This window comes from Homo sapiens, chromosome 4 (assembly GCF_000001405.40).
Source record: "Homo sapiens chromosome 4, GRCh38.p14 Primary Assembly".
NCBI lineage: Eukaryota > Metazoa > Chordata > Mammalia > Primates > Hominidae > Homo > Homo sapiens.
In genome coordinates this window covers 2,608,997-2,633,703 of record NC_000004.12, presented here as the reverse complement: position 1 = coordinate 2,633,703, position 24,707 = coordinate 2,608,997, and the positions used below count along the sequence as shown (strand labels likewise).

At 46.3% G+C, this 24,707-nt stretch overlaps 1 protein-coding gene across 13 annotated transcripts in view, besides 4 other annotated features; it reads right to left on the bottom strand.

The window, feature by feature from the left end:
• FAM193A (family with sequence similarity 193 member A) overlaps positions 1–24,707 on the bottom strand; it is a 197,199-nt gene that overhangs the window by 98,870 nt on the left and 73,622 nt on the right. For 7 of the 13 annotated variants that reach the window (NM_001366316.2, XM_047416341.1, XM_011513590.3 and 4 more), the window contains exons 3-5: positions 8,309–8,442; positions 7,127–7,294; positions 2,535–2,769 (exon numbers count right to left, since the gene is read on the bottom strand). In NM_001366316.2, coding sequence (NP_001353245.1) covers positions 2,535–2,769; positions 7,127–7,294; positions 8,309–8,442 — 537 coding nt within the window. Of the gene's footprint in view, positions 1–2,534; positions 2,770–7,126; positions 7,295–8,159; positions 8,273–8,308; positions 8,443–24,707 lie in introns of those variants that run through there. The other 6 variants (NR_046336.2, NR_046335.2, NM_001256667.2 and 3 more) reach the window with 1 other exon arrangement.
• Positions 2,211–2,710: an enhancer, noted in NCBI's record as "H3K4me1 hESC enhancer chr4:2632721-2633220 (GRCh37/hg19 assembly coordinates)". NCBI's record gives its function as "activates a minimal SCP1, AML or CMV promoter by ChIP-STARR-seq in naive H9 embryonic stem cells {active_cell/tissue: H9 hESC(naive)}" and the evidence as "EXISTENCE:reporter gene assay evidence [ECO:0000049][PMID:30033119]".
• Positions 2,711–3,212: an enhancer, noted in NCBI's record as "H3K4me1 hESC enhancer chr4:2632219-2632720 (GRCh37/hg19 assembly coordinates)". NCBI's record gives its function as "activates a minimal SCP1, AML or CMV promoter by ChIP-STARR-seq in naive H9 embryonic stem cells {active_cell/tissue: H9 hESC(naive)}" and the evidence as "EXISTENCE:reporter gene assay evidence [ECO:0000049][PMID:30033119]".
• Positions 9,196–9,990: an enhancer, noted in NCBI's record as "H3K27ac-H3K4me1 hESC enhancer chr4:2625441-2626235 (GRCh37/hg19 assembly coordinates)". NCBI's record gives its function as "activates a minimal SCP1, AML or CMV promoter by ChIP-STARR-seq in primed H9 embryonic stem cells {active_cell/tissue: H9 hESC(primed)}" and the evidence as "EXISTENCE:reporter gene assay evidence [ECO:0000049][PMID:30033119]".
• Positions 14,909–15,410: an enhancer, noted in NCBI's record as "H3K4me1 hESC enhancer chr4:2620021-2620522 (GRCh37/hg19 assembly coordinates)". NCBI's record gives its function as "activates a minimal SCP1, AML or CMV promoter by ChIP-STARR-seq in naive H9 embryonic stem cells {active_cell/tissue: H9 hESC(naive)}" and the evidence as "EXISTENCE:reporter gene assay evidence [ECO:0000049][PMID:30033119]".

Genomic DNA, 24,707 nt, shown 5'->3' with positions numbered 1-24,707 from the left:
GCCAGGCTGGTCTCTAACTCCTGACCTCAGGTGATCCAACCACCTCGGCCTCCCAAAGTGCTGGGATTATAGCCGTAAGCCACCACGCCTGGCTTATTTTTTTATTATCTAGTAAATTCAGTTGTTTCCCTTGGAGGAAGGAATAGTTAAGGGTATCTAGTCTGCTGGACCCCTAGAAATCAATGTGGGTATTTCTATGTGTAAAGGAAGTGAAAAAAGACACTAATCAAACAGCTTCTGGGTGTATGCATTTTTTTCAAGCCACAAGAAATTATTTCTTTTTTATTTTGTTTTGTTTTGTGTGTGAGACAGAGTCTCGCTCTGTTGCCCAGACTGGAGTGCACTGGCACAATCTTGGCTCAATGCAACCTCTGCCTCCCGGGTTCAAGTGATTCTCCTGCCTCAGCCTCCCGAGTAGCTGGGACTACAGGCGCCCGCCACCATGCCCGGCTAATTTTTGTTATTTTTAGTAGAGACGGGGTTTCATCATATTGGCCAGGCTGGTCTTGAACTCCTGACCTCAGGTGATCTGCCTGCCTCGGCCTCCCAAAGTGCTGGAATTACAGGCGTGAGCCACCGCACCCGGCCTCAAGCCACAAGAAATTATTTCTATGTCAACTGCTAGGAATTTGCTCTAATAAATATGGTTCAAATTAATTTTTGTCAGCTTCATAAAACAGTATCCTACAGTAACTATCTGAGGAGGTGCAGACCTCGCCAGCATTTTCTGGAGAGCAGCAACAGCTGCTGTCTTCACTACCAGAGTCTCTCTGGGCACCAGGTTTAGGTGGGCTGGAGAGCATCCTTCTTAACCTGAGCCAGTGTTCTTGTAGAAGACAGAGGAGGGGCTCTGGATTTGAACCTCTGAAGGGCAGGCAGACTCTCAGGTAGAGACGGGGAGGCTGTGCTGCGAGAGATGCCAGAGGAAGGACGAGGTACCAGAAGGAAGCCTGGTGGCACTACCCAGTGGACTCAGACCTTGAAACAGGATAACTGCCCCCCTGCCCCACCCCCACCCCTCACCCTACCCATTCACCTCGCTACCTCTTCTCAGAATAGATACCTCCCCATGGCTTGGCGCAGTGAAGCTTGAGGAAGTCTGTGAACCCCCTGAAATGACTTACAATTACATGTATGTAATTTTTTCTTTTCTTTTTGAGATAGGATCTCACTCTATTCCCAAGCTGGAGTACACTGGCTCACCACAGCCTCAACCCTGAGCTCAAATGATCCTCTTGCCTCACAGCCTCTTGAGTAGCATGCGTCATCACGCCTGGTTAATTTAATTTTAAATTTTTTTGGTATAGGTGGGGTCTCCCCATGTTGCCTAGGCTAGTCTCAAGCTCCTGGGCTCAAGTGATCCTCCCACTTTGGCTTCCCAAAGTGCGAGGATTACAGGTATGAGCCACCACACCCGGGCTGTATGTAAATTTTTCTAAGAGGGTCCATCAACTTGAGAATCAGATAAAGACCAAGGCCAATGCTTACTGTATTTGTTTCAAAATGTAGGTTTACCACTAAGAAAGCACCCAAAACTGATGCTCAGCCCTCTCGCCATGTGATGCCCTGTACCACCTTTGGACTCTGTTCAGAGTCCAAGTCCCCACCTGCAAGAAAGCTCTCACCAGATGTGGCCCCTCAAACTTAGACTTCTCAGCCTTCCTAACCATGAGAAATAAATTCCTTTTCTTTATTAAAAGAAAGAAAGCACCCAAAACTAGCACCCAAATACAGTTAAGTATTATTTAATAATAAAGTTTAAGTGATGAAAAACTCCATAGACTATTAGTAACAGTCAAGGAAGCTTTGAGGGCTTGTCTCTGGTCTCCTTCCAAAGCGTGGGGGCACTGAGGCTGTTGAGGATTGACCGCAGCCTACTTGTAACCATATTTCTATACCATGCTCCTTCCACCCAATGTAGTGATTCCTCTTTTGAGGCAACCGGACCCATCTGTGTGTCTCTTTTGTTAGGACTGTCAGATCCCCATTGGCAAGGATGGTGATAGGGCCTGTCTTGAGACTGCAAGCAGATCCTTAACTCAGTGCTGGCTTGCTGAGTGCATGCATGCCTGCATGAATGAATGAACGCCACTGGGCGGTAAACAAGCTGTTCTCTACAGCCTTCATGCTCTTCATGGGCATTTCACCTAATACCAGCTCTGTCTACAGCAACGAAAGAATGAACAACCTAAGTAAGACACCGGAGATTTCTCTGTCTCCTTATAAAGGCACACATCAGTGCTCCCCTCACACTGCCCCCATGCCTCGTTCCCTGGGCCTCAAGGTCCTCCAAACAGTACTACCATGAGGTGTCACCTGCTTATCAATCCACCCAATGCTTTTATCCAGTGGCAAAGTCCAGAGGAAAGACAAAGAGGAGAGGAAACAGGTCCTCTCCCGTAGAGAAGAGGGGCCTATCACAGTGTGTGGGGGTGTGACAGCGAGGTCGGCACACATGCGTGAGAAGCTTCCTCTTGCCACATGCTTCTCTTCAGCTCATCCAAACAGAAAGAAAAACACGTTTTCTCTCTTACCAGAGTGCCAAGGAAGGTGCTGATGGAGCGTGCGGCCTGGCAGAGGGCGCCGTACTCCTCAAGCAGGAGGGAGATGAACTGGTGCGCTTGCGGCGGGCCCTGCAGGCCAGATGGTGCCTTCACCTTGGCCGCAGCCGACAGCTGCCGGAGCAGGCGGACCTTCATCTCCAGCACATACTCTCGAGCTTGCTGTTCCAGACGCTGGTACAGCTGGTAGGGGTCCCTCTCGCAGAGCCTGCACAGAGAAGAGGGTCACCAGGGCCTGCCCACCAGGGCCCATGGGTGCTCTGATGTCAGTGAGCATCTTTTCTGAAGCCCTTCCACAGGTGGCCACCTCTAGATGACCACACAGTCACCTTCCTCATAACCACCTGTGAGAAGCACAATCACCCCACCTAATGGATGGGGAATCCGGGGCACAGAGTGTCACTAGGGAACAGCAAGTGACATTTATTGAGCTTTCTCTGTACAGCACTGTCCGTGCACGTGCACTAATTCAGTTCGCTGTGTGTGGGTTCAGTGCCTGCTTTACAGAGGGGACATTTTGGCCCACACAGGTTGGGTGACTTGCGTAAACTCACACAGCTGGAAGAGCACGCTACCACTTCTCAGCAGCTGGCCCCAGACAACATGCTCAGACACGAGGCTGGGGACAACTCTTTTAAAGGCTTATATGTTAACAAGTAAAAAGCACTGATCCCAGGAGAGGTGCCACCTGGCTGCAGATCTGCGGCAGCCTGCTCTTTCCTTCTTTCTAGAAGTTCAGTGTACAATCCAAATGGGTTTGTATTAGGCTTATCAAAAGAGGAAACTTTAGACACAGTTTATCTTTTTTTTTTAACAATTATCCCACCAAAAAAGCAATAAAGGTGTGTAAAATAAAATTTGTAGGCTGAAGAGTAGGAAAAAAAAAATACATGCAACATGACTAAGCCACAAATGCAATGAGCATTTTCATGAATTTCAGGCCAAACTTTGGGATAATCCATTATTTTTGACACAAATGTGTATGATAATCCACATTTTTTTTTTTTTTTTGAGATGGAGTCTCACTCTGTCGCCCAGGCTGGAGTGCAATGGTGTGATCTCGGCTCACTGCAAGCTCCACCTCCTGGGTTCACACAGTTCTCCTGCCTCAGCCTCCCGAATAGCTGGGACTACAGGTGCCCGCCACCACGCCCGGCTAATTTTTTGTATTTTTAGTAGAGACGGGGTTTCACCATGTTAGCCAGGATGGTCCCGATCTCCTGACCTTGTGATCCGCCCGCCTTGGCCTCTCAAAGTACTGGGACTTACAGGCGTGAGCCACCGCACCCGGCCGATAATGCACATTTTAAAACGTATTCTACAGTACTGGCATTGCTATGGTTAAATTTAATTGTATTTTAATCCAGGAGCCTCTAGATGGAAACCTAAAACCACTGATGTAATAATAAAAATTCGTCCATAACCCATCACCAGGAGAAACCAGTTTGAGTTCATCACTCTAACAGAAATGAGTTGTAAAATGTATTAAACTACAGCTCCTGGATTTTACATAGTAAATCCTTTCACCTACATACCATATTATGTCAAAAGAAAAGAAAGTTGTCACCTGTTCTATTTTTAAATTGCCATATTACCTAGGCTATAAAAGACAAGTGCCAAGTAAAATCTTGCAATGGAACATGTGAAGCCTTATGGAAAATGTGGATTAAAAAAATAGTGTAGATGGATGGGATTCCTATTATGGTTAGTATATTTCAGACAGACATTAATTTTTTGAGCATGACAACTGTCATTTCAACTACTAGTATAAAAAACTGTCCTCTGAAACAGAATGCATTTCATCTATTAAAATAAAGCCACAGAAGGTCAAATTTTGACAGAGACAACCAAACTTAGAAGCAGACTGGACACCCACGTCACTGTTCTCTTAGCATGTCGGACTTAGATCTCTTTTTTTTTTTTGTCTATTTCTGTATTTTATAAATTTAAGGAAATAACCATGTGATACTTTTGCAAACAGATTTTTTTTTAAGTTATATAAAAAGAAGGCAGCGGGGCAGGGTGCAGTGGCTCACGCCTATAATCCCAGCACTTTGGGAGGCGAGATTGAGACCATCCTGGCTAACACGGTGAAACCCTGTCTCTACTAAAAATACAAAAAATTAGCCGGGCATGGTGTCAGGCGCCTGTAGTCCCAGCTACTCGCGAGGCTGAGGCAGGAGAATGGCATGAACCCGCCAGGCGGAGCTTGCAGTGAGCCAAGACTGCGCCACTGCACTCCACCCTGGGTGACAGAGCGAGACTCCGTCTCAAAAAAAAAAAAAAAAAGAGAGAGACAGCAATATGCTGAAGAAGCTAGGAAGCTCATTCGCTAACTCACACACACATTCAACAGATGCGGGCACATCAACTACACACTGGCTGCTACTCTAAAGTACTGAAGTTGCAATGTTAATAAGCTGTGAAGTCATGGGTTTGACGTGAAGGTTATACATTTTTTCCTAATACTCACTAGGAAACCTAACTTTGTTGTTTTTTTGTGTTTTTCTTTGGATTTTACTCTGTTGCCCAGGCTGGTGTGCAGTGGAGCGATCCTAGCTCAGTGCAGCACCGAACTCCTGGGCTTAAGAGCTCCTCCTGCCTCAGCCTCCCAAGCAACCGGGACCACAAGTGTGCTTCATCACACCTGGCTAATTTTTTTTATTTTGTGTAGAGACAAGTCACTATGTTGCCCAGGCTAGTCTTGAACTCTTGGGCCCAAGCAATCCTCCCGAAGTGCTGGGATTACAGGTGTGAGCCACCACGCTTGGCTGGAAACCTAACTTCTAATAAAAGCACATACCACAGAGAGGGACCTCATGCAATACCAGTGGCTCACAGGTCAAACCCTGAAAATACTTGGCTGAATTCAATGAGTTAACCTAATCTATGGCTAATCACTATCCCTGCCTCCAGGAAAGAATCTACTGCACAGCAAACATCAGTTTATAAAACTCCCGGCGGGGCGCGGTGGCTCACGCCTGTAATCCCAACACTTTGGGAGGCTGAGGCAGGTGGATCACAAGGTCAGGAGTTCAAGGCCAGCCTGGCCAAGATGATGAACCCTGTCTCTACTAAAAATACAAAAATTAGCTGGGCGCAGCCGGGTGTGGTGGCTCACACCTGTAATCTCAGCACTTTGGGAGGCCGAGGCGGGCAGATCACAACGTCAGGAGATCAAGACCATCCTGGCTAACATGGTGAAACCCCATCTCTACTAAAAATACAAAAAATTAGCTGGGCGTGGTAGTGGGTGCCTGTAGTCCCAGCTACTCGGCAGGCTGAGGCAGGAGAACGGCGTGAACCCAGGAGGCAGAGCTTGCAGTGAGCCCAGATTGCGCCACTGCACTCCAGCCTGGGCGACAGAGCGAGACATCGTCTCAAAAAAAAAAAAAAAATTAGCTGGGCACAGTGGCAGGCGCCTGTAATCCCAGCTACTCAGGAGGCTGAGGCAGGAGAATCACTTGAACTCAGGCAGCAGAGGTTGCAGTGAGCTGAGATTACACCACTGCACATCAGCCTGGGCGACAGAGTGAGACTCCATCTGAAAAAAAAAAAAAAAAAAAAGCCTCCCAAATGTGCTGCATTCAAAATGTGAGAAAGAAACCCAAATGAGAATCAACCCATGAAATGGCCATCTCAAATAAGTTGCTTTCATTTGAAACATTTCAAAAAACATAAAAATATGTTATGTTGCCGGACGCAGTGGCTCACGCCTGTAATCCCAGCACTTTGGGAGGTCAAGGCAGGTGGATTATGTTAGAGACCAACCTGACCAACATGGTGAAACCCCATCTCTATTAAAAATACAAAAATTAGCCGGGCACAGTGGTGGGCACCTGTAATCCCAGCTACTCTGGAGGCTGAGACATAAGAACAGCTTGAATGCGGGAGGCAGGGGTTGCAGTGAGCCAAGATCACGCCATTGGACTACAGCCTGGCTGACAGAGCAAGACTCCATCTCAAAAAAAAAAAAAAAAAAAGTTACATCAAACTATAAGGAAGAATAAAAATTATGGCCACCTCAAATTCTGTGTGGTTACTGAGCATAAGGTATCTGCTGAAGAACGGCTGCGGCATCATGAGAAACAGCCACACGGCCAGGCACGCCTCAGCTGTCTTGGCCTCATGAACCACAGGCACATACACAAGCTACCCAACCTCACAGAGCCCCCATTTTTTCACTTCATAAATGGGCTAACTCGGCCTTTCTCCTTGGGTTGATAAAGGCAAGAGTGCTTGTAAAAGTACTCTGCATCATCCCTGGCACAGGGGGACTCAAAAAGGAAGGTATTATTATCAGTCTTCACACAAACAAGTGACAGAAACATTTCTTGTGTAATTATACAGGCAATAGCGTTTCATCAAAATCAGAAAAATTCAAGACGTTTGACCTAGGGGGCTCACTTTTGCCAGTTCATCTGCTGCAGTCTTGACAGGCACCAAAGGCTAAGCAAACCCAGCTGAGCACTGTAAGGAAAGCCCATCCTGAAAGGAGTGGCTCCAAGTGCAGCAGGGAGGGCAGGGGTTTGCATGGGGCCACAACAGGAAAGGGCAGTATGTACCTATCCACGAGCTCCTTCACTCCCTCCTTGTCAGGCACCAGAGACTGGTCCTGGTCATCTGCCAGCGGGGTTCCTGCCTGGCGGTAGATGCAGCGCACCGTGTAGCGCACTTCTGACCAGTAGTTCTGCAGCTGCTGAGGTTCCCGGTCCGCCTCTGCCGAAATTTCTCTGTGAGACAACACAGGAAGGTTAGAAAGTCACCACAATCTGCTGCCCTTCCTCACCTAGCACACTGTCCTCAGAGGACCTCCCAGGCTCTTGCACCTTGCCCAGCTCCCAGGAGCCGGCAATCAGGCTGCTGTCAGTGCAGGGGGGTGATGGCATCCCCAGCACAGCTCCTAGGGTGCACTCTGCGTAAGATCTTAGCCACTGCACAGATGACAGGAGCATCTGTGGCTAATGTCCACAATTAGGGTACCCACATCCCCACTGCTGACCTGGCCTTCACCTCCAAGGTACTTAATGGGCAGCTTTGCCCCCACCCTTTGGCCCCCACTTGGCTACATGCATTCCTTCCTGAGCCAGAGCACAGAGCATTTTTAGATGTGCTCCTGGGCTGGGCATGGTGGCTCATGCCTGTAATCCCAGCACTCTGGGAGGTGAAGACGGGCTAATCGTTTGAGTCCAGGAGTTTGAGACCAGCCTGGGCAACATGGCGAAGCCCCATCTCTATAAAATATACAAAAATTAGCCCGACATGGTGGTGCGCGCCTGTAGTCCCAGATACCGGGACTGAGGTGGGAGGATCACTTGAGCCTGGAAGGCGGAGGTTGTGGTGAGCGGAGATCACGCCACTGCCCTCCGGCCTGGGGGACAGAGCCAGACCCTGTCTCAAAAAAAAAAAAAAAAAAAAAAAAAGATGAGCTCCAGGGCTCTCCCCTCAGCCACTGAGAAGCAGCCAGTCAGGCTCTCCCCCATCGCTCCTCTCATTCACTGAGGCTGCTCTTAGATTCTGATTATTTAAGGACTCCTTCTCTTGTTCTGAGGATGCTTCCTAGTGCCAGTTCCTCAAGAGCAACAGTTTTTGTCTTACTCATATGGTTCTTTCTCTCAATAGCGAAGCAACTGCCTTACTCTTGTTGCTGTCTGTCACATTAGCCCAGTTTCTCCGTCCAGCTCCAATATGCAGGTCTGCATGTCATTGTGGACAGGTGTGAGCAACGTGGCACACACGTCACATACCTGCGCTCACTGCAGGCCTCGCACGAGCATGCGGTGTCTGAAGGCAGCGTCTGTGCACCCAGAGCGAGCCTCCCACCACTGCCGGCCTCTGGCTGGGAGCCACCAAGCGAGGAGTGAAGAAGAAAATCTTGGCTCTGTTTTAAAAAGAGAACAGAATAGACCAGTTATGTTAAAATGTTCACGGCATCAATTTTTTATTAACTGTTCAGGAAAAATGCCTTTTAAAAAACTGTAAAACCTAAACATTGAAAAGAAACTATCTTGGCCAGATACAGTGGCTCACACTTGTAATCTCAGCACTTTGGGAGTCTGAGGTGGGTGGATCGCTGGGCAACATGGTGAAACACCACTGCTACAAGAAATACAAAAAATAGGCCGGGCGTGTTGGTGCCCGCCTGTAGTCCCAGCTACCCAGGAGGCTGAGGTGACAGGATCACTTGAGCCTGGGAAGTTGAGGCTATAGTCAGCCGTGATCATGCCCCACTGCACTCCTGTCTGGGTGACAGAGACATTGTCACACAGACACACACATACATACAAAAAGGAAACAATTCGGCTGGGCATGGCGGTTCACGCCTGTAATCCCACCATTTTGGGAAGCCGAGATGGGAGGACCACTTGAGCCCAGACGTTTGAGACCAGCCTGGGTAACACAGCAAGACCTCATCTCTATATAAATTTTTTTAAAAAGTTTAAAAATTAATTTATATTAAATTTAAAAAGGAACAGTTTTACTCCCACTGTCCTAATCAGCACACACAATGACCACCTCAGTGGGCACCTCTGGAAAGTGATATGCCCACGGTTGCCTGAGACAGCACATGGTAGAAACCTAGTGGCCTCTCTGAGCCTTGCATCAAGCAGCCGGGGCAGAGGCCTCTCCGTCCTGGGGAATCCCATAGCCTGCACTGCCTGCTCTGAGGAACAAGGAGGCTTAAGAAAGAGAACACTTGGCCGGGGGCAGTGGCTCACGCCTATAATCCCAGCACTTTGGGAGGCCGAGGCAGGCGGATCACCTGAGGTCAGGAGTTCAAGACCAGCCTGACCCACACGGTGAAATCCGTCTCTTCTAAATACACAAAAATTAGCCAGGCATGGTGGGGCACGCCTGTAATCTCAACTACTCGGGAGGCTGAGGTTGCAGTGAGCCGAGATCGCGCCACCGCACTCCAGCCTGAGAAACAGACCGAGACTTTGTCTCAAAAAAAAAAAGAGAGAGAGAACATTGGGCAAAGACCTTCCTATGTCCCACGCCAAAAGGATTTCACCAACAACAACTAGAGAACACAACACAACCCTAGGTTCCTCCTCCCGCTCAGTTACCCTTCCATCGGCACCAAGGCTCCTTCTAGAAGAGGCCCTGAGAAGGACTCTGCTCCTTGGGAACAGGGGCTCAGGGCTCAGGTCTCAGAGCTGAGGGTGCCCACAGGGTGATGCAGGGTGCTAGAGAGCCTTCCCCAGGCTCATGACAGGGGCTGCCAGCTCCATAATCATTGCATCCCCCTGACCCCCACAGCATGAGGAAAAGAAATACAGTCACAAGAGAGACTTCCAGAAAGGAATTCACCTAAGTCTTGAGTATTGCACTATTCCCACTCTGGTCCCCACAAGGAAAAGTGTGCTCTCCTCACCAACCCCTCCCCCAGTCAAGCATGAAGCCACTGAGACAAGCCCCCAGAGAGACGGGTGGTGGCCTGTGGCAAGGAGCCTGGGGCTCACCCTGGGCTGGACTTGGCAAGGTCTGTTCAGATGCTTGCACTACCCCAGTCTGCTGCTGAGCCAAGCACAAGGAAACTCCCAAGGGCCTGTGGCAGGTGCTGTGGAGTTGGGTCACACAGACACTGGTGCAGGCCTTGCAGGTAAGACCCTGCAGCAGAAAAGCCTGAGCGTTGCTAAGTGGGCAGAGGATTAAGACAGCAGGGGACCGGCCAGGCGCGGTGGCTCACGCCTGTAATCCCAGCACTTTGGGAGGCCAAGGCGGGCAGATCACGAGGTCAAGAGATCGAGACCCTTCTGGCCAACATGGTGAAACCCTGTCTCTACTAAAAAAGCACAAAAATTAGCTGGGTGTGGTGGCGCTCGCCTGTAGTCCCAGCTACTCGGGAGGCTGAGGCAGGAGAATTGCTTGAACCCGAAGGCAGAGCTTGCAGTGAGCCGAGATCGCGCCACCGCACTCCAGCCTGGTGACAAAGCAAGACTCCGTCTCAAAAAAAAAAGACAGCAGGGGACCCAGCTCAGCTGCCGCCAGCACACAGGAGGGTAAGAGCTTGTGTCATCCTGAAAGAATCCCACCCCAAATAGGTCCTGCTGGGGAAGCAGACCCCAGAATTACACCATGAGGGAAGGGGGGCAGAGTGCGGGACAGCAGTGGTAGGGGGTTGGGGGCAGGCTGGTTGTGTCACACAGTTTCCACTAGACAGTCCAGCACGAAGTCCCTACCAAGGTCTCAGAAGTGCCCAAAGGTCTGAATGTTTTGCTCTGTTCTGAATGTTTGTGCCCCCGCCCGCCCCCGTTCATAAGTTGAAATTTTAACCCCTAAGGTAATGTATCAGGAAGTAGGGCCTTTAGGTGGTGATTAGGTCATGAGGTCGGAGTCTTCGTGAATGGAATTAGTGTCCTTTTATAAAGAAGGCCCCAGAGAGCTGCCACATCCTTCCACCGCACGAGGACAGAGAGAGGGCACCAGCTATGAACCAAAGCTTGGCCCTTCCCAGGCACCAATCTGCCAGCACCTTGATCTTAGACCTTCCAGCCCTCCAGACTATAAGATATAAATGTCCGCTGTTTACAAGCAGCTTAGCCCATGGCATTTTGTTGCAGCAGCCTGAGCATGCTAAAGCAGCACCCCCGCCACCAACAAGAAAGAGCCAGCAACCACTGGGCCACCCATTAGGACCACAGGCCTAGCGCTAGTGGGCCAAAAAGAACCTAGACAACCCAGCAGAGAACAAAGACCCCCAAGTCTCCGCTCCAGTGCCCCTTCTCCATCCTGGAGGAACAGGACAGGCATAAGGAAGCAGGACATACACCACCGCCCTCTGCCCTTGGGGACTCCTGCCATCACTTAACATGAGGGGAAGAGGCTTTGAATTAATTAGATGAGACATTTAGGTTTTTTTTTTTTTTTTTTTTTTTTTTGGAGACAGGGTCTCGCTCTATCACCCAGGCTGGAGTGCAGTGGTGCAATCTCAGCTCACTGCAACCTCCGCCTCCCAGGCTCAAGCAATCGTCTCACCTCAGCCTCCTGAGTAGCTGGGACCAAAGGCATGCGCCACCACACCTGGCTTAATTTTTCGTATTTTTGGTAGACACAGGGCTTCGCCATGTTGCTCAGGCTGGTCTCAAACTCCTGAGCTCAAGTGATCCGCCCACCTTCATTTCCCAAAGTGCTGGGATTACAGGCGTGAGCCACCACACTAAGCCACATTTAGGTTTTTATGTAGACTGGACCTGAGTACCTGAAAATGTGGTTATTCCAATACCAAAAGTGGCTGGAAGGCCATGGAGTTCTGACTGAAGAGGCATGGTAGGGCAAGGAGAGGGCAGTGGTAGAAGAGGCTGTTCCCTAAGCGAGTCCGTTCCCTTCAACAAGCGAGGTTCACGCTCTCCTCCATCCCACGCCCATCTAACAGCAAAGTTGTCCACTCCACCTCAATCCTAAGCACCTCCACAATCCACCCATTCTTCCTCCGCTGCTTCCAACCCAGTCTAAGCCATCATCACCTACCTCTTGCCTGCACAGCTGCACTGGCTCTCTCTAGTGGCACACCTATTTCCGTATGTACTAATCATCCATTCTCCAAGCAGCAGCAGAGTGAGATCACAGAGCTCCCTACATAAAACCTCTGTTCTCCTCCACTTCACTTAGGAGCAAACACCGTATTTCTTACCACAGCTTTCAAGGTTGCTCAGGTCAAAGTTCTGCTTTTAAGTCACTGCCCTTGCTCCCTTTGCCTCGTACCCTTAGTCAGTGAGCCTCTGATTGGCTTCTGGTAGACTGTAGAATACTGTCCCATCAGGCCTCAGCAAAAAGATCACCTACTGAGGGAGGCTGGTTGAGTCAATTAATTTTTTTGCCTCTCAACTCCAAATCCACCCTTCTTCGCCACACTTACAATGAAGGAGCTGCACCCTGTAAACATTTCTCCTCTGCCAGCAGGTAGGTACAATGTGTGGTCCTATGGGTGGAGGGTACTACAGGGACGGTGAAGAAGAAGGGGTCTCCCTCCAGGTTCCTGTGCTTTTCTCATCTTGCTCTTACCCTGAGGCAGCTCCTCATCAGTGGTGTGTGGGGGACTGAGAGGCACGCACTCTCCAGCACTCAGTCCCAGCCTGCAGGACCTCAGGGAGCCTCTCTGCTACCCAGTGGGGCATAATGACACCCCCTCCATGTCAGGGCCTCTTCCAAGTTTGTTCCTTTCTTGAGTCCCCTCCCTAAGCTCCCGTTAGTGGCTGCTCCCTAAATCTGCCCCGGCCATATTCTTTAGCATTCACTTCACGGATCTGGGTGGCTGACCTGTCGCTACTTGTTAATTACTTTTTTTTTTTTTTTTTTTTTTGAGACGGAGTTGCAGTCTTCTTGCCCAGGCTGGAGTGCAATGCTGTGATATCGGCTCACTGCAAACTCCGCCTCCTGGGTTCAAACGATTCTCCTGAGTAGCTGGGATTACGGGAGCCCACCACCACCCCTGGCTAATTTTTGTATTTTTAGTAGAGACGGGGTTACACCACGTTGACAAGGCTGGTCTCCCAACTCCTGACCTCAGGCGATCCCGCCTGCCTCAGCCTCCCAGAGTGCTGGATTACAGGCATGAGCCACACACCCTGCCACTTGCTAATTATTCTTTATGTTAAAAATGTGTTTGTTCTGATTATGAGCGCGGTGCCCATCTCCTGAGCTCTAGCTTACCCATCAACCTAAACACCCCAGTTAATCTCCTCTATTAAACTGCTATCTGAAATCCTGGTGTTCTACTGTGTTCTTGTTTTTTTATGTGTCTTCAACACTGGAATTCATGGTTCATGAGAGCCAGAACCTATCTACTTGCTCACTATGGTACATCAGTGCCTATCATCATGGCTGGAACGCAGTACACTCAGAAAAGCAATCAAGAACTTGGGAAAGCAACATTTCCTGGAGACAAGACATGAAAGTAAGTCTTAAAATAGGGTACATGATGACTACATATTAAATCCTTAAATGTGTCCCATTATAGCACTCATCATATACAGATTTAACCTCAGTCATGTTTCACCCAAGTCTAACACAATTTAAAAGAAAAATAACAAAATCCAGCAATTAACAATGTAAAATTCACAATGTCCAGCATCCAGTAACGAAACCAAAAGCAGGACAATGACTCCTAAGAAGGAGGAAAAGCCAATCAATAGAAACAGATCCCCCAGGCCAGGTGCAGTGGCTCACGCTTGTAATCCCAGCACTTTCAGAGGATGAGGCGAGTGGATCACTTGAGGTCAGGTGTTCGAGACCAGCCTCACCAAGATGGCAAAATCCCAACTCTACTAAAAATACAAAATGTAGCCAGGCATGGAGGCACAAGCCTGCAATCCCAGCCACTCGAGAGGTTGAGGCAGGAGAATTGTTTGAACCGAGGAAGGGGAGGGGAGGTTGCAGTGAGACTAGATCGTGCCACTGCACTCCAGCCTGGGTGACAGAGAGAGACATTGTCTCAAAACAATAAAAGAAAGAAAGAAAGAAATTCCCCAGTCCAGCCACGGTGGCTCACGCCTATTATCCCAGCACTTTGGGAGGCAGAGGCGGGCGGGACCACCTGAGGTCAGGAATTCGAGAGCAGCCTGGCCAACATGAGGAAACCCCATCTCTACTAAAAATACAAAAATTACCCCACCTCTACTAAAAATACAAAAATTAGTATTTTTAGCTCTACTAAAAATACAAAAATACAAAAATTAGCATGGTGGCACGTGCCTGTAATCCCAGCTACTCAGGAGGCTGAAGCAGGAGAATCGTTTGAACCCAGGAGGCGGAGGTTGCAGTGAGCCGAGATTACACCACTGCAGTCCAGCCTGGGTGACACACTGAGGACTCCGTCTCAAAAAAATAAAAAAGAAAAAAAGAAACAGATCTCCCCAAAAATAGAGATGATACAACTGTCAAGAATCTGAAATTGGCAATTATAAAGAAACTCCATATGTTCAAGAAACAGAGGAAAAATAAACACGATGGGAAGAGAAACTGAAGATGTCAATAAATAAATAAACCAAATGAAACTTCCAGAGCTGAGAAATAAGACATAAAAGAAAAAAATACACTAAACACACTTGGCAGATTAAGCAGATCAGAATACCAATAAACCTGAACACAGGCAATAAAAATAATCCAGCCCAGACGCGATGGCTCACGCCTATAATCCCAGCATTTTGGGAGGCCAAGGCAGGTGGATCACCTGAGGTCAGGAGTTCGAGACCAGTCTGACCAACATGGTGAAACCCCACCTCTACAAAAAAATACAAAAATTGGCCAGGCGCAGTGGCTCACACCTGTAATCGCAACACTTTGGGAGGCCGAGGGTGGGCAGATCACCTGAGGTCAGGAGCTCGAGACCAGCCTGACCAACATGGAGCAACCTTGTCCCTTCTAAAAATACAAAATTAGCCAGGTGTGATGGCACACGCCTGTAATCCCAGCTACTCAGGAGGCTGGGGCAGGAGAATCACTTGAACCCAGGAGGAGGAGGTTGCAGTGAGACGAGATCACACCATTGCACTTCAGCCTGGGCAACAAGAGCAAAACTTCGTCTCAAAAAAAAAAAAAAAAAAAAAGCCGGGCATGGTGGCGGGCACCTATAATCCCCGCTACTCAGGATGCTGAGGCAGGAGAATCACTTGAACCCAGGAGGCAGAGGTTGTAGTGAGCCGAGATCGCACCATCGCACTCCAGCCTGGGCGACAGGGCAAGACTGTCTCTAAATAAATAAATAAATAAATAAATCCAAAATGAAGCACAGAGAAGACTGAAAAAATGGACAAAGCATTTGTAGGACAAACTCAAGATGTCTAACATCCCAGAAAAAAAGGGGACTACGTGAAGAAATACTTGAAATATTTCTAAATTTGAGGAAACTATAAATTCACACTATGTAAGCCCACACTCACTGCAAGCTCAATTAACCCAAAGCACACTAAACACAAAGCAAAGCACGCTGAGGCCCATCACAGTCAAACTGCTGAAAACCAGTGACAAAGTGCAAATCTCAGAAGCACAGAGAGGAAAACGAGTCACCTTACATATGCAGGAGCAAAGATAAGGACGACAACGTGTTTCTCATCACAAACTGGAGAGGCCACGAAAGAAATGACCAACAACCTCAAATTCCAAACAGAAATATCTTTTTAAAACAAAGGCAAAAAAGATTTCAAACAGAAGCTACCCTGGCCTACAGGAAATGTTAAAGGCAGTTCTTGAGACAGGGAAAATAATACCAAATGAAAATGTGGATCTACACAAAGGAATGGAGAGCACCACACATGATAAAGATGTGGGTCAAGAACTTATTTATAAGGTCTTTTTAAAAGATAATTCGCTATTTAAAGAAAGGGAAAAAATGACAATGTATGCTGAGGTGTATAATACATGTAAGAAAAACACACGACTACATTAGCACCAGAAATGGTGGCGCTCCAAGTATACTACTGTAAGGTACTTACACTACATGTGAAGTGGTATACTATTCTTTGAGAGTAGAGGCTGAAAAGTGGAAGCTATAGCTAAAAAATTATAAAACAAAGAAAAAGAAATACAGGTAGTAAGGTCAACAGGAGACAAAATGAAAGAGTTTAAAATATTCATAGGCCAGACGCGGTGGCTCATGCCTGTAATCCCAGCACTTTGGGAAGGCGAGGCAGGTGGATCACGAGGTCAGGAGATCGAGATCAGCCTGGCCAAGATGGTGAAACCCCGCCTCTACTAAAAATACAAAAATTAGCCAGGTGCGGTGGTGGGCACCTGTAATCCCAGCTACTTGGGAGGCTGAGGCAGGAGAATTGCTTGAACTCGGGAGGCAGAGGTTGCAGTGAGCTGAGATGGCACCACTGCACTCCAGCCTGGGAGCAGAGTGAGACTCCATCTCAAAAAAAAAAAAAAAAAAAAAATATATATATATATATATATATAATAAAAACATACTTCTGACCAATACATGGGTCAAAAAATATTCTTTTTTTTTTTTTTAATTTTTTTTTTTTTGGAGATGGAGTCTCGCTCTGTCGCCCAGGCTCGAGTGCAGTGGCACGATCTCAGCTCACTGAAACCTCCGCCTCCTGAGTTCAAGCAATTCTCCAGCCTCAGCCTCCTGAGTAGCTGGGATGACAGGCATGTGCCACCACACCCGGCTAATGTTTGTATTTTAGTAGAGACGGGGTTTCTTCGTGTTGCTCAAGCTGGTCTCGAACTCCTGAGCTTGGGTAATCCGCCCGCCTCAGCCTCCCAAAGTGCTGGGGTTACAGGCGAGAGCCACCACGCCCAGCCACTTAAAATATTCAATTCACTGGGCAGGCGTGGTGGCTCACACCTGTAACCCCAGCACTTTGGGAGGCCAGGGCGGGCAGATCATGAGGTCAGGAGATCAAGACCATCCTGGCTAATAACATGGTGAAACCCCGTCTCTACTAAAAATACAAAAACAAAATTAGCTGGGTGTGGTGGTGGGTGCCTGTGGTCCCAGCTACTTGGGAGGCTGAGGTGGGAGAATGGCGTGAACCTGGAAGGTGGAGCTTGCAGTGAGCAGAGATCACTCGCCACTGCACTCCAGCCTGGGCAACAGAGTGAGACCCTGTTTCAAAAAAAAAAAATTCAATTCATTTAAAAGAAGAGTAACAAATAACAGATGGGAAAAACAGGAGAAAAAATGCAAGATGGTATGTTTAAACCCAAACAGATCACTAATTACATTAAATGGAAAGAGTGTAAATACTACAATTATTAGCAGAGAAGGTCAGACTAGACTTTAAAAAGGCAAGAGCTCCTAAGCTACAAGAGATGATAAAGACAGGTTAAAAAGAAAGGTTGGGAAGCCATATTCCATGTACACACTAATGAAAAAAGGCTAGGTGGCTCTCAGTATAAGACAAAGTTTGCTTCACAACAAGGATTAGTAACAACAAAGAGGGAGATGCTGATGCTGATGATGATGGTGGTGGCATTAATTCAACAATTAGAAATAACAGTGCTAAATGGTAAATAACAACAGAGCTCAAAATACCTAAAGTAGAAATTGAAATAAATATACCAATCCATAGTTACATTTAGAAGTTTCGGCCGGGCGCGGTGGCTCAAGCCTTAACCCAAGCACTTTGGGAGGCTGAGGCGGGCGGATTGCGCAAGCTCAGGAGTTCGAGACCAGCCTGGGCAACACTGTCTCTACTAAAATACAAACATTAGCCGGGCATGGTGGCGTGCATGTGTAATCCCAGCTACTCAGAAGGCTGAGGCAGGAGAATCGCTTGAACCAGAGCGGGCAGAGGTTGCAGTGAGCTGAGATCGCGCCACTACATTCCAGCCTGGGCACAGACTGAGACTCTGTCTAAAAAAATAAAATAGGCCGGGCATGGTGGCTCTTGCCTGTAATCCCAGCACTTTCGGAGGCCGAGGACGGCAGATCACGAGGTCAGGAGATCAAGACCATCCTGGCCAACATGGTGAAACCCTGTCTCTACAAAAAATACAAAAATTACCTGGGCGTGGTGGCGCACGCCTGTAGTCCCAGCTACTTGGGAGACTGAGGCAGGAGAATTGCTTGAACCCGGGAGGCAGAGGTTGCAGTGAGCCGAGATCGCACCACTGCACTCCAGCCTGGTGACAGAGTGAGGCTCCGTCTCAAAAATAAAAATAAAATAAAATAAAATAAAAACATACTTCTGAACAAAACATGGGTCAATGAACAAATCATAATAAAGGCAATTATAAAATATTTTGAGTAGAATGAAAAACATACCAGAATTTGTGGGATGCAGCTAAAGGAATGCTTAGACAGAGATTTATAGATCCTGTGTGATTGGTGCAAATTTTAAAAGAAATGTATAGAATTAAACAAATTAGAAAAGAAGAAAGGTCTCAAATAAAATGATGTAAACTTCCACCTTAAGAAACCAAAACAAGCTGGTACAAATGCAAGGCTGTTGATAACAAACAGGCTGGTACAAATGCAGTGCTGTTGATAACTAACTGTTCACAACCAGTACAGATTTCTTTGTTCCTTCTTGACTCCCACTGCTTTGTTTGACTGCTCTTAAAAAAAATAAATAAATACAAAATAAGTAGAGGAATGAAATTAATAAAGAGAAAAATTAACAAAAAAGAAAATGGAAAAGCAATTAAAACAAAATGTGGTTCTTTGAAAAGATCAGTTAAATTATCTAGCCAGTCTTAGGGGAAAAAAAGACAAAACTCAAAAAACTGGTATCAGGAATAAAAAGAGGAGGGAAGCAATCACTAGAGATCCTATGGAAATTAAAAAGGTAATAAATATTCTGAACAACTTTATGTCACAACATTTAATATAAAATGGGCAAATTTCCTTAAAGACAAAAACTAGCACAGTTCACTAACAAAGAAACAGATAACCTCCATCAAATGAATTGAACTTGTAGTTCAAAATCTTCCCAATAAGGCAACTTCAGACCAAGACAGCTTTACTGGTGAATTCTGCCAAACACTTAAGGTAGAAATAATGCCAATTTTACACAAACTTTTCCTTTCCGGAAAATCAAAGAGAAAATACATCCTAGCTCATTTTATAATGAAGTATTAGCCTAACATCAAAACCACACAAAGATGTGAGACAAGAAATTTATAGACTAATATCCTTCATGAACATAGACACAAAAATCCTTAACAAAACATTAGTAAATCCAATCCAGCAACCTAGCAAAAGGATAATACATCACAACCAAATGTGAGTTATCCCAGGAATGCAAGGTTTTCCAACATTTTGAAAATCACCAAAATTTATTTCATTAACTAAAAAAGGAAAACTCTGTTATCATCTTAACAGATGTAGAGAGTATGACAAAATTCAGTATCTATTCATAATGATAATTCTTAGCAAACTAAAAATATAAGTAAATTTCCTCAATCTGATCTATACTACATGAAGAAAGACCAAATGCTTTCCCCTAAGATCATGAGCAAGAGGATGCTTACTCACACCACTCCTATTCAATCTCACATTGGAAAAACTAGTCAGTGGAATTGGGCAAGAAAAAATGAAGATACACAGATTGCAAAGGAAGAAACACATTATTTGTAGACGACATGATCATCTACATAGAAAATTTTAAGGAAGGCCGGGTGCGGTGGCTCAGGCCTGTAATCCCAGCACTTTGGGAGGCCGACGCACATGGATCACGAGGCCAGGAGTTCAACACCAGCCTGGTCAACATGGTGAAACCCCGTCTCTACTAAAAATACAAAAATTAGCTGGGCATGGTGGTACGCACCTGTAATCCCAGCTACTCGGGAAGCTGAGAGGCAAGAGAATTGCTTGAACCGGGACCCAGGAGACAGAGGTTGCAGTGAGCCAAGATTGTGCCACTACACTCCAGCCTGGGCTACAAAGCGAGACTCTGTCTCAAAAAAAAAAGAAAAAGAAAAAAAAAAAAAAGGCCAGGTATGGTGGCTCATGCCTGTAATCCCAGCACTTTGGGAGGCCAAGGCATGCGGATCACCCGAGGTCGGGAGTTCGAGACCAGCCTGACCAACATGGAGAAACCCGTCTCTATACTAAAAATACAAAATTAGCCAGGCATGGGGGCACATGACTGTAATCCCAGCTACTCGGGAGGCTGAGGCAGGATAATTGCTTGAACCCAGGAGGCAGAGGTTGTGGTGAGCCGACATCGCGCCACTGCACTCCGGCCTGGGCAAAGAGCAAAACTCTGTCTCAAAAAAAAAAAAAGAAACCTACCAAAAGGCCCATAGAACTAATAAATGAGTTTTTACAGTACACATGGCCAATATCCAAAAAAAAAAAAAAAAAGCTGAATTTCTATGTACTAGCAATAAACAAATATTGAAACTTTTTAGAGTATATTTAAAATAGCAAGAAAATATAAAATACTTTGGGAAAATGTATTTATTTTTTGTAAAACCAGGATCTCACTATGTTGCCCAAACTGGTCTTAAACTCCTGGCCTCAAGCAATCCACCTGCGTAGAACTCCCAAAGTGCTGGATTACAGGTATGAGCCACTGTGCCTGTCTGGAAAGTTTTTAATATACTGACTACTAAAGTTTTTAATATACTGACTACAAAACAATGCTGAAAATAAACTTAAATGATCTAAATAAATGAAGAGTTATACCATATTCATAGACTTGAAGACTCAATATTGTTAAGGTTTCAATTCTCCCCCAAACTGATCTATAGAGTCAACACAATGCCAGTTAAAATCCCAACAGGCTTTTCTGTAGAAACTGACAAGTTGGCTCTAAAGTTTACATAGCAATGCAAAGGATCTAATATATCCAAACCACTTTTGAAAAAGAAGAAAGTTGGTAGACATCTATGTAATTTCATGACTTACTATAAATAGCTTCAAGAATCAGGATAGTATGGTACTGGCAAAGGAATAGGAATATATGTAAAGTGGGACACAGCATCCAATAATAGATCCATACATACAGAACCAACTGATTTTTGACAAAGGTCCCAAGGTAATTCAATGAGATAAAATTGTCTTTTCAATAAATAGTTCTGAACAACTGGATATCAGTATGCAAAAAAAGATGACTCTTAACCCTTACAACAGATAAAAGCTTCATTCAAGGTGGCTCATAGACCTAAATGTATATGCTAAAACTATTAAGACAGAAAAAAACAAACAAGCAAAAAAAACTTTTTTGTTTGTTTGTTGTTTTGAGATGGAGTCTCACTCTGTCACCCAGGCTGGAGTACAGTGGTGCAATCTCGGCTCACTGCAACCTCCACCTCCTGGGTTCAAGTGATTCTCCTGCCTCAGCCTCCCGAGTAGCTAGGATTACAGGTGCACGCCACCGTCTCGGCTAATTTTTGTATTTTTAGTAAAGACAGGGTTACTCCATGTTGGTCAGGCTGGTCTCAAATTCCTGACCTCGTGACCCACCCGTCTCAGCCTCCCAAAGTGCTAGGATTACAGGCGTGAGCCACGGCCCGGCCAGGGCAAAAAATCTTTATAACCTTGAGTAGCAAAGATTTCTTACATGGAACACAAAGGCACAAAATCATTTAGAAACACAAATTGGAGCCGGGCGCGGTGGCTCACGCCTGTAATCCCAGCACTTTGGGAGGCCGAGACAGACGGAACACGAGGTCAGGAGAACGAGACCATCCTGGCTAACACGGTGAAATCCTGTCTCTACTAAAAATACAAAAAATTAGCCGGGCATGGTGGTGGGCGCCTGTAGTCCCAGCTACTTGGGAGGCTGAGGCAGGAGAATGGTGTGAACCCGGGAGGCGGAGCTTGCAGTGAGCCGAGATAGTGCCACTGCACTCCGGCCTGGACAAAAGAGCGAGAGACTGTCTCAAAAAAAAAAAAAAAATGGATTTGATCAAAATATAAATCTTTTGCTCTTCAGAGGACAGTGCTGTATAATGAAAATGCCAGTCACACGCTGAGAGAAAATGTTTGTGAAGCCTGTCTAATAAAGGGCTTGTATTGAGATTATATAAAAATATCTCACAACTCATTAAGACAACTCAATAAAAATGAGCAGAAGATCTGAACAGCCACTTTTCCAAAGAGATACAAATGGAAAATAGGTACATGAAAAGATGCTCAACAAGTCGTTAAGAAAATGCAGATTAAGCCGGGCGTGGTGGCTCACGCCTGTAATCCCAGCACTTTGGTAGGCTGAGGCGGGTGGATCACCTGAGGTCGGGAGTTCAAGACCAGACTGACCAACATGGTGAAACCCCGTTTCCACTAAAAATACAAAAAAAAAATTAACTATGCATGGTGGCTGGCGCCTGTAGTCCCAGCTACATGGGAGGCTGAGACAAGAGAACTGCTTGAACCTGGGAGGTGGAGGCTGCAGTGAGCCGAGATTGAGCCACTGCACTCCAGCCTGGGTGACACAGTGAGACTCTGTCTCAAATAAATAAATAAATAAATAAATAGAAAATGCAGATTAAAACCATAATGAAGGATAACACTACAAACCACTAGAATGGCTGTAAGTAAAGACTGCCAATATCCAGCACTTGGCAAAGATAAAGATCAACTGGACCTCTCATACGTGGCTGCAGAACAGTATAAGCACTTACCCTATAGGACTCAGCAATTCCACTCCCAGGTGTTTATCAAAGAGAAGTAAATTGCATCCACTTAAAAGACTGATACTCGGCCGGGCACGGTGGCTCATGCCTGTAATCCCAGCACTTTGGGAGGCGGAGGCGAGTGGATCACCTGAGGTTGTAAGTTTGAGACCAGCCTGACCAACATGGAGAAACCCTGTCTCTACTAAAAATACACAACTAGCTGGGCGTGGTGGTGCATGCCTGTAATCTCAGCTACTTGGGAGACTGAGGCAGGAGAATCGCTTGAACTTGGGAGGCGGAGGCTGCGGTGAGCCGAGATCGCGCCATTGCACTCCAGCCTGGGTGACAAGAGCGAAACTCCATCTCAAAAAAAAAAAGACTGATACTCAAATGTTCCTAGTAGCTCTACTCATAACAGCCCAAACTGGAAAATACAAACGTCTCTCTATTGATGAATGGATAAACAAATTGTGGTTTATCCATACAATGGATTATTACCCAGAAATAAAAGGAATTAACTATTGCTACATGCAACAACAGAGATGACTCTCAAAAGCATTATGCTAAAGGAAAAAAGCCAAAGATCACCACTCAGCTTATCTTTCTGTAAGGCTAACTCAAGTCAATCTGGCAATTTTGAGTAGTTCCAACAAATTACATTAGCAACTACTTTCATGAAGTTCACTGCAAAGAAATCTGTACGTTTCTAATATGACCTAAAACCCAACAGGGCAAGCATTCAAGGTAAGGACCAATACTAGCAAACTCTTAAATGGCTGGTTTAAGTTGGGACTATATGCCTTGATTGATCTATGGGCGTAGTAACCATTGGGTAACAATTCAAGATAATGACAAATACTAGCGAGTTTTTTTTGTTTTGTTTTGTTTTTGAGACAGAGTCTCGCTCTGTCGCCAGGCTGGAGTTTAGTGGCGTGATCTCGGCTCACTGCAACCTCCAACTCTCTGGTTCAAGCGATTCTCCTGCCTCAGCCTCCTGAGTAGCTGGGATTACAGGCACCCGCAACCAAGCCCAACTAATTTTTGTATTTTTAGTAGAGATGGGGTTTCATCATGTTGGCCAGGCTGGTCTCAATCTCCTGACCTCAGGTGACCCATCTGCCTCGGCCTCCCAAAATGCTGGGATTACAGGAGTGAGCCACTGCGCCCAGCCAGCAAACTCTTTTTTTTTTTTTAAGACGGAGTCTCGCTCTGTCATTAGGCTGGAGTGCTGTAGCGCCATCTCAGCTCACTGAAACCTCAGCCTCCCGGGTTAGAGGGATTCTCCTGCCTCAGCCTCCTGAGTAGCTGGGACTACAGATGCACAACACCACACCCAGCTGATTTTTTATATTTTTAGTAGAGACGGGGTTTCACCGTGTTAGCCAGGATGGTCTCGATCTCCTGACCTCATGATCCACCCGCCTCGGCCTCCCAAAGTGCCGGGATTACAGGCGTGATCGGCCTAGGCCGCCGTGCACGGTGGCCTACGCCAGCAAACTCTTAAATGGCTTAAGTTGGGACTATATGCCTTGATTAATCTATGGGCATAATAACTATTGGAGAACCCAGTTCCTTAGTGTAAAATGCAACTTACATTTTAATAATATGATATATGAGAATAAAGACAACTGCTAATGCCCATAATCAAAATGGAGTCTAAAACAGCCTTGAAAACAGAAAAATAGATAGAAACTTAAGACTACTTGCCGAGTAGTCTTCTTTATGACAGGATGCTTGAGTTCAGGGCCCTTTAAAGAAAAAACAATTACCCCAAAGTGCCATCCCCTCACCGTATCTCCCACCAGACTAAAACTATTTTTGTTAAACATATGCAAATGTTAAAATGCAACATAATATGTCTTTTAGCCTTCATATAATGTAAAAACTCAAGGTGGTTTAAAGTGAAATATTTTTAAAATGGTGAAATTCAGCCAGGCACGGTGGCTCAGATCTGTAATCCCAGCACTTTGGAAGGCCGAGGCGGGTGGATCACAAGGTCACAAGACTGGGACCGTTCTGGCTAACACGATGAAACCCCACCTCTATGAAAAATACAAAAAAAATTAGCCAGCCGTGGTGGTGGATGCCTGTAGTCCCAGCTACTCGGGAGGCTGAGGCAGGAGA